The sequence below is a fragment of the Homo sapiens genome, chromosome 20, assembly GCF_000001405.40.
Source record: "Homo sapiens chromosome 20, GRCh38.p14 Primary Assembly".
Classification (NCBI taxonomy): domain Eukaryota; kingdom Metazoa; phylum Chordata; class Mammalia; order Primates; family Hominidae; genus Homo; species Homo sapiens.
The window spans coordinates 21,296,712-21,311,061 of NC_000020.11; the positions used below are offsets into that span (position 1 = coordinate 21,296,712).

Sequence of the window (14,350 nt, forward strand, 5' to 3'; positions counted from 1 at the left end):
TTATGAAAATAGTTATGACCTCACAGACCCTCTCAGAGAGTCTCTGAGGCCCTTGGGGTCTCTGAATCACACTTTGAGAACTACTGCTCTAAGAATTCAATTCAATAAAAGTATTATATTTATTGAGAACCTACTGGATGCTCACCACAAGATAAATACAAAGACATGTCCTCGCCTCCAAGGAACCTGCAGTGTCCCCTTCCACACCTCATTTCCAACCAAATCTTAATATTCCAAGACTCAGTGTCATTCCATAATACTTCCTCCTTGTCATTTTTTTATCCCATTAGATGACAAGAGCTCTACTTTTTTCCTAAGTGTCTGTAGCAATTATTATCTGTGCAATTCATTTGGGATTTTGATCAAACACCACAGAGGGAGACTTATTATTGATCAAACTGTGACTTATTAATAGTTCATATTTTGTGGTTGTATTTTGTCCTTGCTACTGATGGTAGGCTCTTTCAGAGCAATAACTTATTTTACTTATGGTGCTCAAGGTAAGTAGTGAAGACTGTGGATCTTACACCGGTATTTAGTAGTTTGATTTGCAACTATTGAGTGTGGCAGAGACAAAGCTATGTGCTCACCAATCCTATTTCCTTTTCCTGTTCTTGAGCACTCAGACTCCTTCCCAGTCTCTCCTGCAATTGGGTTAGGGCCATGTAACTGGGTTTGGGCCAGCAGAATATAAGTCACCACGAAGCCTGACCCTTAAAAACACCCAGTGCGGCCCTCCTGCCCTGTCTTCCCTTTTGGTAGTGACTGTGGTGGCCACGTTGAGCTGGCAGAATCCCAGGATGAAAACAGCAGGATGCCCAAGTCATCACATGGAAGACCGCTCTGGAGAGTAGCCTGATACCACATAAACTAAGCTAATGAGGTTTCAGGCATTACTTGTTACTACAGCAAAGCCTACCTTATCCTGGAATATTAGTGGAAAAAGAATGTCCATAAATGAAATAGGAAATAATGTAAGACACAATACTATGTACGAAAAGAGTCAGGAGTGATGTGGAAGATGGGAGTGGGCAAGAGTCAGTTTGGGCTCATGTGCTGGGACAGACTTTATGGAGAAGAGGGGAAGAGATAATTTGAATGAGTAGAATTTGAGTTGTAAAAAAGGTGGTGGGAAGACTATGAGTCTCAGCAAAGTGGGAATGAGCAGGAAATATAAGTGAGGGAAAATGAAGACAGAGTCAATATGAGAAAGTTAACACCGTAACAGTGTGGTGGCATGCCTGTAGTCCAAGCTACTTGAGAGGCTGAGGTGGGAGGATTGCTTGAGTCTGGGAGATGGAGGTTGCATTGCGCCACTACACTTCCACCTGGGTTACAGAGAAAGATCCTGTCTGAAAAAGAAAAAAGAATGAACGCACGAGAGAAAGAAAAAGAAAGAAAGAAGGAAATAAAGAAAGAAACAGAGAGAGAAAGAGAAAGAGAGAGAGAGGAAGGAAGGAAGGAAGGAAAGAAGGAAGAAAAGAAAGTTAATACTAGCTGGGGAGTGGCAAAATGAGGCCTGTTAGATTATTAAATTGTCCAAAATAAGTGGAACATGCTAATAAAATTGTGAGGCTTCTTCAAAGCAAACAGTGTGGAGCACAACAGATAGCCATACAATGGTGATCACTTCCTGGTTCTTAGCAAGTTTTGGCCTGTGCACTGGGCATGGTATCACTGAATTTTCACAGAAAACCTATGAAGTCTATGATCCTCATTTTACAGATGAAGAAACTGAAGCTTAGAGAGGTGAAGCATCTTGAAAATGCATTAGTCAGAATTCTCCTGAAAAACAGGACCAATAGGATGTGAGAAGGTTTTATTTGAAGAAATTGGCTCACACGATTGTGGGGGCTTGATGAGTCCAAAATCTGATGGGGTAGGCCAGCAGGCTGGAGACCCAGGGAAGAGGTGCATCTGCTGGCAGAATCCATTCTTGCTCAGGGAAGGTCAGTCTCAGGGGCTGTAGTGCTGCAGTGTCCACTTTCAGGTGGTGCCTGCACATCATGCAGAACCACCTGTAAACCAGCCCTGAGCTTTCTCTTCTCTACATTAAACCCAAGTAGGCCTGGCATTTCTCACTCACTCACTGTGGTCTACCTTTTGGTCCATGTTTCAGTCAACCAACCCATCAGTTATAGCACTAACTCCCTGAGTTGCAACATTAAATGCAGAAATCTTGCTCAATCGGCCCCTATCAATATATTCAGCCTGATTCAATTTTATGTTTCTTCCATCTTTATCCCACACCTTTAATTTCCATTCTCACACATATTCCCTGAATTTCTGACTAAATAAGAAAACTCAAGTAGTTCTTTTGGAGTGTAGTATGCCTCATGGATCACATTTCATGCCTCACCTTTTGGGACTGCTAGGACTTGAGTCTAGTTAAAGTTCTAGAAGCCAAGAGGGGTAATGGGGGTGTGTCCTGAGGAGAATCAGCATTGTCTTGCGAGACAACTGTATCAGGTGAGGTCATGATAGATTCCTTAAGCAATGAAAGGTTAGTTCCCTCAGGTGGGGGTGGAGAGGATATATCTACTGGGGTGGAGAAAATGCTTCTACGGGCAAAGATGACTCATTGGAACTTATGAATTCAATGTCCCCAGTGCCATCAAGGTCTTTCCATATGCCCCCATTCCAACTTTCAGGATCCAATTCGTTCCCAATCAATGCCCTCACTTTAGAAGTAGACAACCTGCAAAGTCAAAAATTCAATCTGCACTTTAATTCAGCCACTTACAGGATGTGATTCGGAGTTGATTTTTAACAATCTTGGCTCTGCAGCTATAGGAGATAAGGGTCTCTTTCAGGGCAGAAATAGAAAGTTTCAGGTCACTTATGTTATACTTGAGCTGGGAATTTGAATCCCTGAGCTCATCCTTTTCTTTTCCCACTTTGTCCAGCAACATTAGGGGCAACCAATCTCATTATACTTGTTATTTTGGCAAATATGTTATAAAGTATCATACGCATGGTCACCCAGATCCTGCTTCTTTTTAGTTTTGGTAATATTTTGTGTAATTCTACTACTTCATCATGCCATAGACTATCAAGTGTTTTATTTACTACTGGAAAGTCATTCCTGTTTTTAATCTAATCAGACTAGAGAACCACTTCCAGAAACCTCAGAACCAATTACAAAAATGCATCCCTAAGATTCCGTTCCGCTTGAACCACTTCTAGTACCAGAATCTGTAGCTGTCAGCGTTCTCTAGAGACATGGAATCAACATGTGGGCATATACAAAGACATTTATTATAAGGATTTGGCTCACGTAACTATACAGACTGGCTAATCCAAATCTGCAGTGTAGGCCAGCAGATTCAGGACTCAGGAGGCAGATTACATCTCAAGGCAGTTGGCTAGAGAATTCCCTCTTGCTTGGGGGCCAGACTTTTTGTTCTATTCAGGCCTTCAACTGATGAAATGAGGTCCACTCACATTATGGAGGGCAATCTGCTTTACTCTACTGATTAAAAATGTTTATCTCAACCCAAAATGGCCACAATTACTGTTTTAAATACATCAGGTTATTCACAATGAATTTTGTAAGGATAAAGAAGGAAAGGAATCACTTGGTAGAAGGACCAATAGTAGGCAAAAAAAAACTGAGAATTTTTTTCTATGATAATTACAATGTTAATGGGGCTTAAAAATGAATTGATGAATATTTAAAAACATCCTAGTTTCCACATATTATATATTTTTCATATTGTTTTTCACATTAATGTAATCCAGATACTAGCTGTGGCCTTCCTCTCTCCCTTTGAGATCTGGGCAAAAATGTTTCAAAACCTCTGGGTTCTCTGCCTGTATAAGTCCAAAGTCTGGTTCAGTATTTCTGCTAATTTATTTTCTTTTTTTTTTTTTTTTTTTTTTTAGATAGCTTCTCGCTCTGTCACCCAGGCTGTAGCACAGTGGTGCAATCATAGCTCACTGCAGCCTTAAACTCTTGGGCTCAAGTGATCCTCCTGTCTTAGTCTCCCCATTTGCTAGGATTACAGATGTGAACCACCACACCTGGCCTCCCTGCTAATTTCCAACACTAATAAATTCTCACCTCTTCTGCTTCTAGAGGTCTGCTATGTTGCCCACCCCGTGGTGGTTCCAAACCACAGTGACCCCAACTGGAGACTTTTTATTTGATTTCTACAAGAAAAACCCATACCAAGCCTGAGTCTGACAGGCTTTACTGGACACATTGGGCCAGGGAAAGTGTCACAATACTTAGTCCATATCCTCCTGCCGCCTTTCAAGTTTCTTCTCTCTTTTACCCACTCCTTCTCTGAGTGCCAAAACTCCAATTTTAGTACTTCTATGCAAACCAATTTCACCACCCAGGTGAATTAGCTTGCACTCCCCAAATTTTGTTACTGGACTCTTTCCTTTGTAAGGGATAAGAATTTAGCCCAAGCCAGCTTAGGGCAAAAGGAAACTTTTGGCTGGGAGTGGTGGCTCACACCTGGAATCCCAGCACTTTGGGAGGCCAAGGCGGGCGGATCACAAGGTCAAGAGATTGAGACCATCCTGGCCAACATGGTAAAACCCCATCTCTACTAAAAATACAAAAATTAGCCGGGCGTGGTGGCGCACATTGGTAGTCCCGGCTACTTGGGAGGCTGAGGCAGGAGAATCGCTTGAACCTGGGAGGTGGAGGTTGCAGTGAACCGAGATGGTGCCACTGCACTCCAGCCTGGCAACAGAGTGAGACTCTGTCTTAAAAAAAAAAAAAAAAAAAAATTTGGCTCACAGAATCAAAGGACAGACTTAATCAAACTGCAGGAAGAGAGGGATTTAACTGGAACCAGGGAATTAACCCTGCTTCTCTCATTGCCTACTGGCAACAAGTCCCAATTCTTATCTTTTAGCGTTCACGCACTGGAAAGATGCAGTCTTAAATTTCTTATGGTTCAAAGCTCAAAAATGCTGGTAAGGCTGGGTGCAGTGGCTCACACCTGTAATCCCAGCACTCTGGAAGGCCGAGGTGGGCAGATCACCTGAGGTTAGGAGTTCGAGACCAGCCTGGCCAACATGGTGAAACCCTGTCTCAACTAAAAACACAAAAATCAGCGGGGTGTCATGGCAGGCGCCTCTAATCCCAGCTACTCGGGAGGCTGAGGCAGGAGAATCGCTTGAACCCGGGAGGTGGAGGTTGCAGTGAGCCTGGATCTTGCCACTGCACTCCAGCCTGGATGACTGAGACTCCGTCTGAAAAAACAAAAACAAAACAATAAACCCTCCCAACCCGCCAAAATGCTGGTTAAGGATTCTAAATGGCTCAACTTGGCCAGCTGTCTATCCCTGAACTGCCTATGGTGTACATGTTCCTATAACAGCACCTCCCAGGGAAACCAGAGGGGCTGCTTCCAGGTAAAAGGAGGAATTTCACCATAGACATAATACTTTGGAATAGTTTTGGCTATCCTTAAGTAAAACACGGGATGACTATTTCTCTAATTTCCACACTAGTAGTTTAAACAAAGTAGTCATCAGACCACAGAGGAGGGGGCAATAAATACTGCCTGTGAGGTAACTCGGCGAAATACTTTCACAGAGGCCTCATGAGGTGAGCATTTAGCATCGTGTGTGATGTGTGTCAAACCAAGAGGGGATTCAGGGAGACTTCCAGGCTTGAGCAAACGGACAAATATACCTCCTCTTCCAGACCTCTCCTTTCATATGGAAAAAATTCGTTTGGGACCACCAGAAAACAAAAGATAAAAGTATCGTGTTAGAACAAGGATGGATTAAAAATGACCTTTGCTTGAACTGAAACAGAAGCTATGTGCATAAGTGACTTAACTCCTCTGTAACTTGGCTTTCTTATCATTTACACGAGGGTGCTAACAGTACCCTCACAAGGTTCAAGTGAAGATTACATAGGACAATCCCTTAGTCAATGTCTTGGTACACTGTAAAGGCTCAGTAAATGCTGGAAAATCATATTAGCAACTATTTTATACCCGTAATTGTAGCTGGAAGATTGTATTGGATGCTAAATACCGGCTAGATTCCATTCGGTAACTATCATAATTATTTATTTGCATAACAATCAAATTATTGGTGCAAAGCAGCCATTATTACTGTAAAATGCTTTAAAATGCTCCTTTTGATAGTCCAGGTACGTACTGCAGCACAAAACTAGGAGAAACCAGGAAATGGAAGTAACGAGTAAGTTTGGATGCTTCGATTCTACCCTAGATTGAGACGGGTGAGCATAGAGGCAAAAAAAGACATTTTCTTCCAAACAAGAGGTGACCAAACGGGCAAGGGAGACCTCCTCCCGGGCATGCAGAGCGCAGCGATTCTGTGCCCAGGGAGCCGGAGGGCTGGGGCTGGGAGATCCCGGCGGAGCCCCGGCAGAGCAGTCGCCCGTGAGCCCCCGCAACTCAGACGCGCTCGGCCTCGCGCTCCGGGGCTGGGACCACCGAGGGCGAGCTGCAGCCTTCGCCACCCGGTCCGCCGCCGGACTCCGCCTCCCACAAACAGCCCGGCAAGGCCCTTTTCCGCCGCTCCCTCATCCAGCGAAGCCTCCTTCCCAGCTTCCCCGGCGGCGGCGCCGTGACGTCACTTCCGTTCTCCAGCGCGCACGTGGGAGGAAGTGCTGGTGCCCTCTGCCGCTGCTCCCGTCTCTTTGGTTACGCTCGTCAGCCGGTCGGCCGCCGCCTCCAGCCGTGTGCCGCTATGGGAGTCCCGGCGTTCTTCCGCTGGCTCAGCCGCAAGTACCCGTCCATCATAGTCAACTGCGTGGAAGAGAAGGTGAGGAGGCGCCAGGCGGCCGCCACACTCGAGCCCGGGCCCCCGGCACGTCTAGGCCGCGGCCCATGGGCTCCGCCGCCTGCCCCCGGGGAGCCTTGCCGGAGCTCGCGCCCTGCTGCCAGCCTCGCGAGCAGTCGCAGCCCCACACGCGATGGGACGCGGGCTGTGGGATTCAGCACCCCGGGGGCGAGGAATTCAGGACCCTCGGCGGGGCAAGGGCCTATAGGGTTCCGAACTCGCAGGAGGGTCGCTCCTCCCCTACTCGCTTTTTCCCGGCACCGGAAGGCCCCGCCCACTGCTTTGTTTCCTCTCCAGACCGCGCATTTTGGGTCTCGGAAGAGGTTCAGAGGCTGTTGTTGAGCAATGCATGCCAGGTCAGCTGAGCTAGCGGGTTATGGATGCACGGATTCGGAGGCCAGCTTTTTGACAACCTTGTAAAGGAATCCCTGGCGGCGACCTTTTCGTTGTTTACCAATTGTGCCGGAAAGGTTTTCTCCTAGTGTTCAGGACCATTTGTTGTTCTGGTTAGATTGGACGCTGAAAGCAGTATGTCAGGTCCAGGATGAGCGCTATAGAATTCTGAGAAGTTACCCTTCTCTGTGTGCCCTGACTACTGAACGGGGTGGGTGCTTGTTGAAAATTTCAAGATTACTGGATGTACTTGAGCAGTACAATTTTTGTTGTTAGTTAATACGTAAGTAGATTTTTGGCCATTATTGAGTTTTGTTTTTATTGTTTTCGTCATTCCATGCGGATTCGATTTTGTGCTCTTAATTAGAATTTCTGGATTGGAAACGTTCAGAGGCACATCACGCGTACCTCACTCCTTAGTTTTTGAAGGCAGTGCTTGCCTGTCACTGTGAACTTATTTCTGCTTTTTTTTTTTTTTTTAACTTTCTTGGCTTCTATCCAAGGAGGAACCAAAAGCCTTGTCTTAGTGACATTCCCACTATTTCTTGTTTTTTTCAAAAAGCAACTGCTAAATTGAATACTTGTTTCCTTTGTAAAATTTTAATCGAACTTTATTGAACTTTACTTGCACGTGGGTTAAACAAAAAGCAACAGTTCTTGCTCTACCCCTTCTCATCCCATTTCTCCACCTTTAACTGTTTTGGTTCTGTCTCTAAGTATCATACTTATACGTTATCACTTTTAGATCTGTTGAATTCTAGCTGGAATAGGAGAGGATTTAGTCACCTATTCAGCCCTCCCTCTATACTCTTAATGGAGTAAATCACTAGATATATATTTTTATTGGTAAGCTTTATAACTAAGTAATTTGCCTTTTTCATTCCATCGCCTGTGTAACGTATCCCTTGACTCAATGCTTTCTAAGGTCGATCTTAGCTTTTCTTCCCTTTCACCTCAAGTTTGTCAGCTGTACTTTTGCGTTGTGGGCATCCAAAATTAAATGATCAGGGCTTTGACTATACAGATTTAAAATGCTGAAAAATCAGATAGGATAGTTGACTATTGACACTGTGTAGATTCAGGTTATGTACTGTGATTTTGTTTTTTGTGCTGCTTTTGTCTTTTTCCCTGGGGCTGTCTTTCTTTTTCCACTTTACATCTTGCCGCGCCCGGACTCTATTTTACCAGGTAGTCTATCAAGAGTCATCTTTCTTCTTGAATAGTCCTTCTTGGGGTCTTATTTATTTTTGTTGCTGTCACACCTGGCTATTCTGTAGGCTTGCTGGAAAGCTGCATCTGGGATTTTATTATTATTATTGCTATCATATCTTTCTTCAGTGGGAGGTACTGTTTTCTGGATCATCATCTTACTTCATTTGTTTATTTATTTAGAGACGGAGTCTCGCTATGTCTCTTAGGCTGGAGTACGGTGGCATGATCTCGGCTCACTACAACCTCTGGCCTCCTGGGTTCAAGCCATTCTTCTGCCACAGCGTCCAGAGCAGCTAGGACTACAGGTGTGCGCCGCCACGCCCAGCTGATTTTTTTTTAGTAGAGACGGAGTTTTGCCATGTTGGTCAGGCTGGTCTCGAACTCCTGACCTCAGGTGATCCGCCTGCCTCAGCCTCCACAGTGCTGAGACTACAGGCATGAGCCACCATACGTGGCCTTTTTTTTTTTTTTTTTTTTTTTGGATTTTTAGTAGAGACGGGGTTTTGCCATGTTGGCTATGCTGGTCTCTGTCCTGACCACACGTGATCCGCCTCCCTGGGCCTCCCTTGTGCTAGGATTACAGGTGTGAGCCACGGCGCCCGGCCCATCTTTCTTCCTTTAAATCGTTTTCTTAGTTTTTATTCTTAATTCTTTTTTTTTTTTTTTTGAGACGGAGCCTCGCTCTGTCTCCCAGGCTGGAGTGCAGTGGCTCAATCAATCTCGGCTCACTGCAAGCTCCGCCTTCGGGGTTCACGCCATTCTCCTGCCTCAGCCTCCTAAGTAGCTGGGACTACAGGCGCCCGCCACCACGCCTGGCTAATTTTTTTGTACTTTTAGTAGAGACGGGGTTTCACCGTGTTAGCCAGGATGGTCTCGATCTCCTGACCTTCTGATCCGCCTGCCTTGGCCTCCTTATTCTTAATTCTTAAGAAATGCTGTGTGGGATGTGAGATTTCCGAGTCATTGTAGGACCCAAAATAGCTCCATTCTACCCTTATACACGTGAATGATCATTAGCTAGGCATGGAATTCGAGGTGTTTTTTTTTTCTTCTTCTTTGAGACGGAGTCTAGCTCTGTCACCCAGGCAGGAGTGCAGTGGTGTGATATCGGCTCACTGCAGCCTCCACTTCCCGGGTTCAAGCCGTTCTCCTGCCTCAGCCTCCCGAGTAGCTGGGACTACAGGCGCGCCACCACGCCCGGCTAATTTTTGTAGTTTTAGTAGAGACGGAGTTTCACCATGTTGGCCAAGCTGATCTTGAACTCCTGACCTCAGGTGATCCACCAGCCCCTGCCTCCCAAAGTGCTGGGATTACAGGCATGAGCCACCGCACCTGGCCAGGAATTCCAGTTTTAATATTAGGTTCCCTCAGAACTTTGAAAGAAATTGTTCTTTTGTACTCTCTCATCTAGTAGTGTTGATGACAAGTTCGGTGTTAATGTGATGTATTTATTTAACCAGCAGTTATATAGCATTTACCATTGTTTTAAGAACTTTATTATAACTTGTTTGATCCTCACAACCACATGACTTCTACTGTTGTAATTATTTTTATTACATACAAATAATAGAAGCACGTTATTTGGAGACAACCAATATTGTTATTATGTTATAATAATTACTATGTTTATTGGCCGGGTGCGGTGGCTCACGACTGTAATCCCAGCACTTTGGGAGGCTGAGGTGGGTGGATCACGAGGTCAAGAGATCCAGACCATCCTGGCTAACATGGTGAAACCCCATCTCTACTAAAAATACAAAAATTAGCTGCGCATGGTGGCGCGCCTGTAGTCCCAGCTACTTGGGAGGCTGAGGCAGGAGAATCACTTGCACCCGGGAGACAGACATTGCAGTGAGCCGAGATCCCGCCACTGCACTCCAGCCTGGTGACAGAGCGAGACTCCATCTCAGAAAAATAATGATTATTGTTATGTTTATTATTATTTCAGATGAGAAAATGGAAACACAGCAGGGTCGCGTATCATACCCAAGGTCACTCAGCTGATAAATGTCAGAGCTAGTGTGGAAACCAGAAGGACTTAATTTTTATGCTCATATGCTTTCATTCTTTTGTGATCAGTTTTCCTTCCTAGATTTTAAAAAGATCTTTTTCTTGATAGTGTAAACTTTCATTATTAGGTACCCAGGTATAGATGTTATTTTAAATTCAGATTCATTTTGATCAGTACGTGGCTCACTCTTTGAGTCTGGAGTCTTACGTTCTTCGGTTTTAGGGAATGCTGTTTGATGATTTCTTGACCTTTTTTTCTTCCCTTTCCAGACTCAGGATACTGGTCCTCTTAGACTCATGTATTTTTATTTTTATTTTCTCTCTCATTCTCTGGCTTTCCTTGAAACCTCCCCCAACCTTTGGTGTTTTTGCAGCTTTGTTGAGGTATACTTGACATAGAATAAACTGCAGGTAATTAAAGTGTACAATTTTCTTTTAACTTTTTTCGAGTTGAGGTCTTGCTCTGTCACCAGGCTGGAATGTAGTGTGCAATCATGGCTCACTGCAGCCTCAAAGTCCTGGGCTTAAAGTATATAATTTAATACAGTGCATACATCTGTGAAACCAGCACAACCAAGACAGTGAACGTGACCTCTAAAACATTCCTTCTGCCCTTTTGTAGTTCCTTTCTACTATCCCTCCCTGCCACCTGTCTTTTGCCAACCACTGACTGGTTTGCTTTCTGACCGTATGATAAGTTTTCATTTTCTATAATTTTTTATAAATGAGATTATATAGTATATACTCATTTTTTGCCTCAGTTACTTTCATTCAGTATACTTATTTTGAAATTCTTCCGTTGTTGTATGTGTCAGTAGTTTATTTCTTTTTTGTTTTTATTTTTTTTTGAGATGGAGTCTCGCTCTGTCGCCCAGGCTGGAGTGCAGTGGTGCGATCTCGGCTCACTGCAACCTCCACCTTCTGGGTTCAAGCAATTCTCCTGCCTCAGCCTCCCAAGCAGCTGGGATTACAGGCACATGCCACCACACCCGGCTAATTTTTGTATTTTTAGTAGAGATGGAGTTTCACCATGTTGGCCAGGCTGGTCTTGAACTCCTGACCTCAAGTATCTGCCTGCCTCGTCTTTTAATTTTTGGATAGTATTCTGTGTGTAGATACACCACATTTTATTTATTTATTCAGATGATTGATGAACATTGGGATTGTTTCCAGTTTTTGGCTTTCTGAAAAAGAAACCTATGAACATCTCTGTACAAGTCATTGTAGGGACGTATGCTTGCATTTGTTTGGGGGAAAAACATTAGGAGTGAAATGGTTGGATTGTATATTAGGTGTGTGATTACTTAAAAAGAAAAACCTGCCAGACTTTTTTTTTCAAACTGGTTGTGCCATTTTACATTGGCATCAGCAGCATATCAGGGTTCCAGTTGCTCAACTTCCTCACCAACACTTGATATAGTTAGCCCTTTTAGTTTTAGGTAGTCCAGTGTACTGTTACCTTATTGTGGTTTTAACTTGCATTTCCTTCAGATGCTTATTTGCTTTCTGTATATCATCACGGGCAGGGTGAGGCATCTGTTCAGATCTTTTGCTCATTTTTATCTTCGGTTGTCTTACTTAAATGTAGAGTTTGTTACATATTCTAGATAGAAATCCTTAGTTTGATATATCTTTTGCAAATATTTTCTCTTGATCTGTGGCTTGTCTTTTTACTTCTTAACAGTGTCTTGGGAGCAAACATTTAAAAATTTTAATGAAGTCTGATTAATTTTTTCCCTTTATATTTCTGCTTTTTGTATTTAAGGAATCCTTTGTCAAAGCCAAGGTCTCCTGTGTTTTCTTAGAGAAGTTTTATAGTTTTACTTCATTCTGTGGTTTCCATTTTTTGGTCTAGTCATATGGTGAATTATCGGTCTTTAAATGCTAAAGCCACCTTGCATTCCTTGGATAAACCTCACTTGATCATGTTGTATTATTTTTATATACGTTGAATTCAAGTTTGCTAAAGTTTGCTAAAGTTTTCTTGAGAATTCTTGAGAATTGTGTCTCTGTTCACAAAAGATATTTGTAGCATTCTTGTAATGTGTAGTTGAGATGTCAGAATAATGTTGACCTCAAATTGAGTTCCTTCAGTTTTTTGGAAGAGTTTGTGTAGAGTTAGTATTGTTTCTTCCTAAAATGTTTGATAGAATTTACCAGTGAGGCCATCTGGACTTGGAGTTTTGTGGGAAGGCTTTAAGCTGCAAATTAAGTTTCTTTAGTTGATCTAGAACTATTGAGGTTACCTATTTATTTATTTATTTATTTTTTGGATGAGCTTTTTTAGTTTGTATCTTTCACAGATTTTGCCCATTTCATCTAAGTCAAGCTTGTCCAACCTGTGGCCTGCAAGCTGCATGCAACCCAGGATGCTTTGAATGCGGCCCAGCACAAATTCGTAAACTTTCTTAAAACATCATGAGATTTATGCACAGACCTTTTCTTTTTTTTTCAGCTCATCAGCTGTCGTTAGTATTAGTGGCCCAAGACAATTCTTCTTCCAAAGTGGCCCAGGGAAGCCAAAAGATTGGACACCCCTGATCTAAGTAGTTGAATTGGCTGACATAAAGTTGTTCATAGTATTTTCTTACTATCCTTTTTTTTTTGTTATTAAAATGTTTTCACTCCTGTTTTTACTTCTCTTTTGTTTTCTTTTTTCTTCCTGTTAACTTGTTATTATCCTTTTAATATTGTTAGAATCTGTAGTGATGTTACCTCTTTCATTCCTGATACTTGTAATTCTACTTTCTTTGTTTTGTCCCATTATCAGTCTGGCTACACTGTTCTCAGATAACTAGCTTTTGGTTTCATTGATTTTCTTTATTGTTTTTCTGTTTTCTATTTCTTTGATTCTGCTCTTATATGTATTTGTTATGCTTACTTTGGGTTTAACTTGTTTTTTCTCTTCCTTGTTTATTAAGGTAGAAGCTGAGGTCATTGTTTTGAGACATTTCTTCCTCTCTGATATAGATCTTGAGTGCCATAAATTGCCTTCTAGATATTGTTTAAACAGTGTGCCACAAATATTAACATGTTGTATTTTCATTTTCATCCACTTAAAAATATGTTCTAAAACTCCCTTTGGCCCGCTGGTTATTTAAGAGTGTGACTTAATTTTCACACACATGGGAGATTTTCCAGGTATTTTTTCCTGTTCGTGATTTTTAATTTAATTCCCTTATCAGAGATCATATTTAATTTGAGGTCTGTTGAAGTTTATCAGACTGGTTCAGAATATGGTCTCTATAAATGTTTTATGTGTATTTGAAAAGGATACATTTTCTGCTGCTGTGAAATTTTGACTATAACTTTTGGATTTTTCTGTTTCTCCTTTCAGTTCTATTGGTTTTTGGTTGTGTATTTTGAAGCTCTTTTATTAGGTGCATAAATGCTTAACATTGTTCTAGTTTTTTGGTGGATAATACACTTATTATGAAATGACCTTCATTATTCTTGGTTAATATTTGCTCAGAAATCTATTTTATTTGTCATTAATACAGCCAGTTATTCTGACTAGTGTCAGCATGGTGTGTTTTTTTCTATTCTTTTATTTTAGCCTGTTTGCATCTTTATGTTTAAAGTGGACGTTTTTGTAGGTAACATAACAATTGGGTCTGGCTTTTTTTTATTTTTATTTTTTATTTTTTATTTTTTTTGAGATGGAGTCTTGCTGTGTCGCCCAGGCTGGAGTGTAGTGGCGCGATCTCGGCTCACTGCAAGCTCCGCCACCCGGTTTCATGCCATTCTCCTGTCTCAGCCTTCCGAGTAGCTGGGACTACAGGCGCCCGCCACCACGCCCGGCAAATTTTTTTGTTTTTTTTTAGTAGAGATGGGGTTTCATTCACTGTGTTAGCCAGGATGGTCTTGATCTCCTGACCTCGTGATCTGCCCGCCTCTGCCTCCCAGAGTGCTGGGATTACAGGCGTGAGCCACTGCGCCTGTCCGGGTCTGGCTT

The 14,350-nt window shown here is 42.7% G+C and overlaps 1 protein-coding gene across 3 annotated transcripts in view, besides 2 other annotated features; it reads left to right on the forward strand.

The window, feature by feature from the left end:
- Nucleotides 6,318-6,447: a silencer, noted in NCBI's record as "silent region_12715". NCBI's record gives its function as "represses an Ori minimal core promoter by ATAC-STARR-seq in GM12878 lymphoblastoid cells {active_cell/tissue: GM12878}" and the evidence as "EXISTENCE:reporter gene assay evidence [ECO:0000049][PMID:35858748]".
- XRN2 (5'-3' exoribonuclease 2) overlaps nucleotides 6,620-14,350 on the forward strand; it is an 86,495-nt gene continuing 78,764 nt past the window's right edge. For 2 of the 3 annotated variants that reach the window (NM_001317960.1, XM_017027722.2), the window contains exon 1: nucleotides 6,787-7,136. In NM_001317960.1, coding sequence (NP_001304889.1) covers nucleotides 6,828-7,136 — 309 coding nt within the window. In that variant the 5' untranslated portion in view covers nucleotides 6,787-6,827. Of the gene's footprint in view, nucleotides 6,763-6,786; nucleotides 7,137-14,350 lie in introns of those variants that run through there. The other variant, NM_012255.5, reaches the window with a different exon arrangement.
- Nucleotides 7,168-7,217: an enhancer, noted in NCBI's record as "active region_17624". NCBI's record gives its function as "activates an Ori minimal core promoter by ATAC-STARR-seq in GM12878 lymphoblastoid cells {active_cell/tissue: GM12878}" and the evidence as "EXISTENCE:reporter gene assay evidence [ECO:0000049][PMID:35858748]".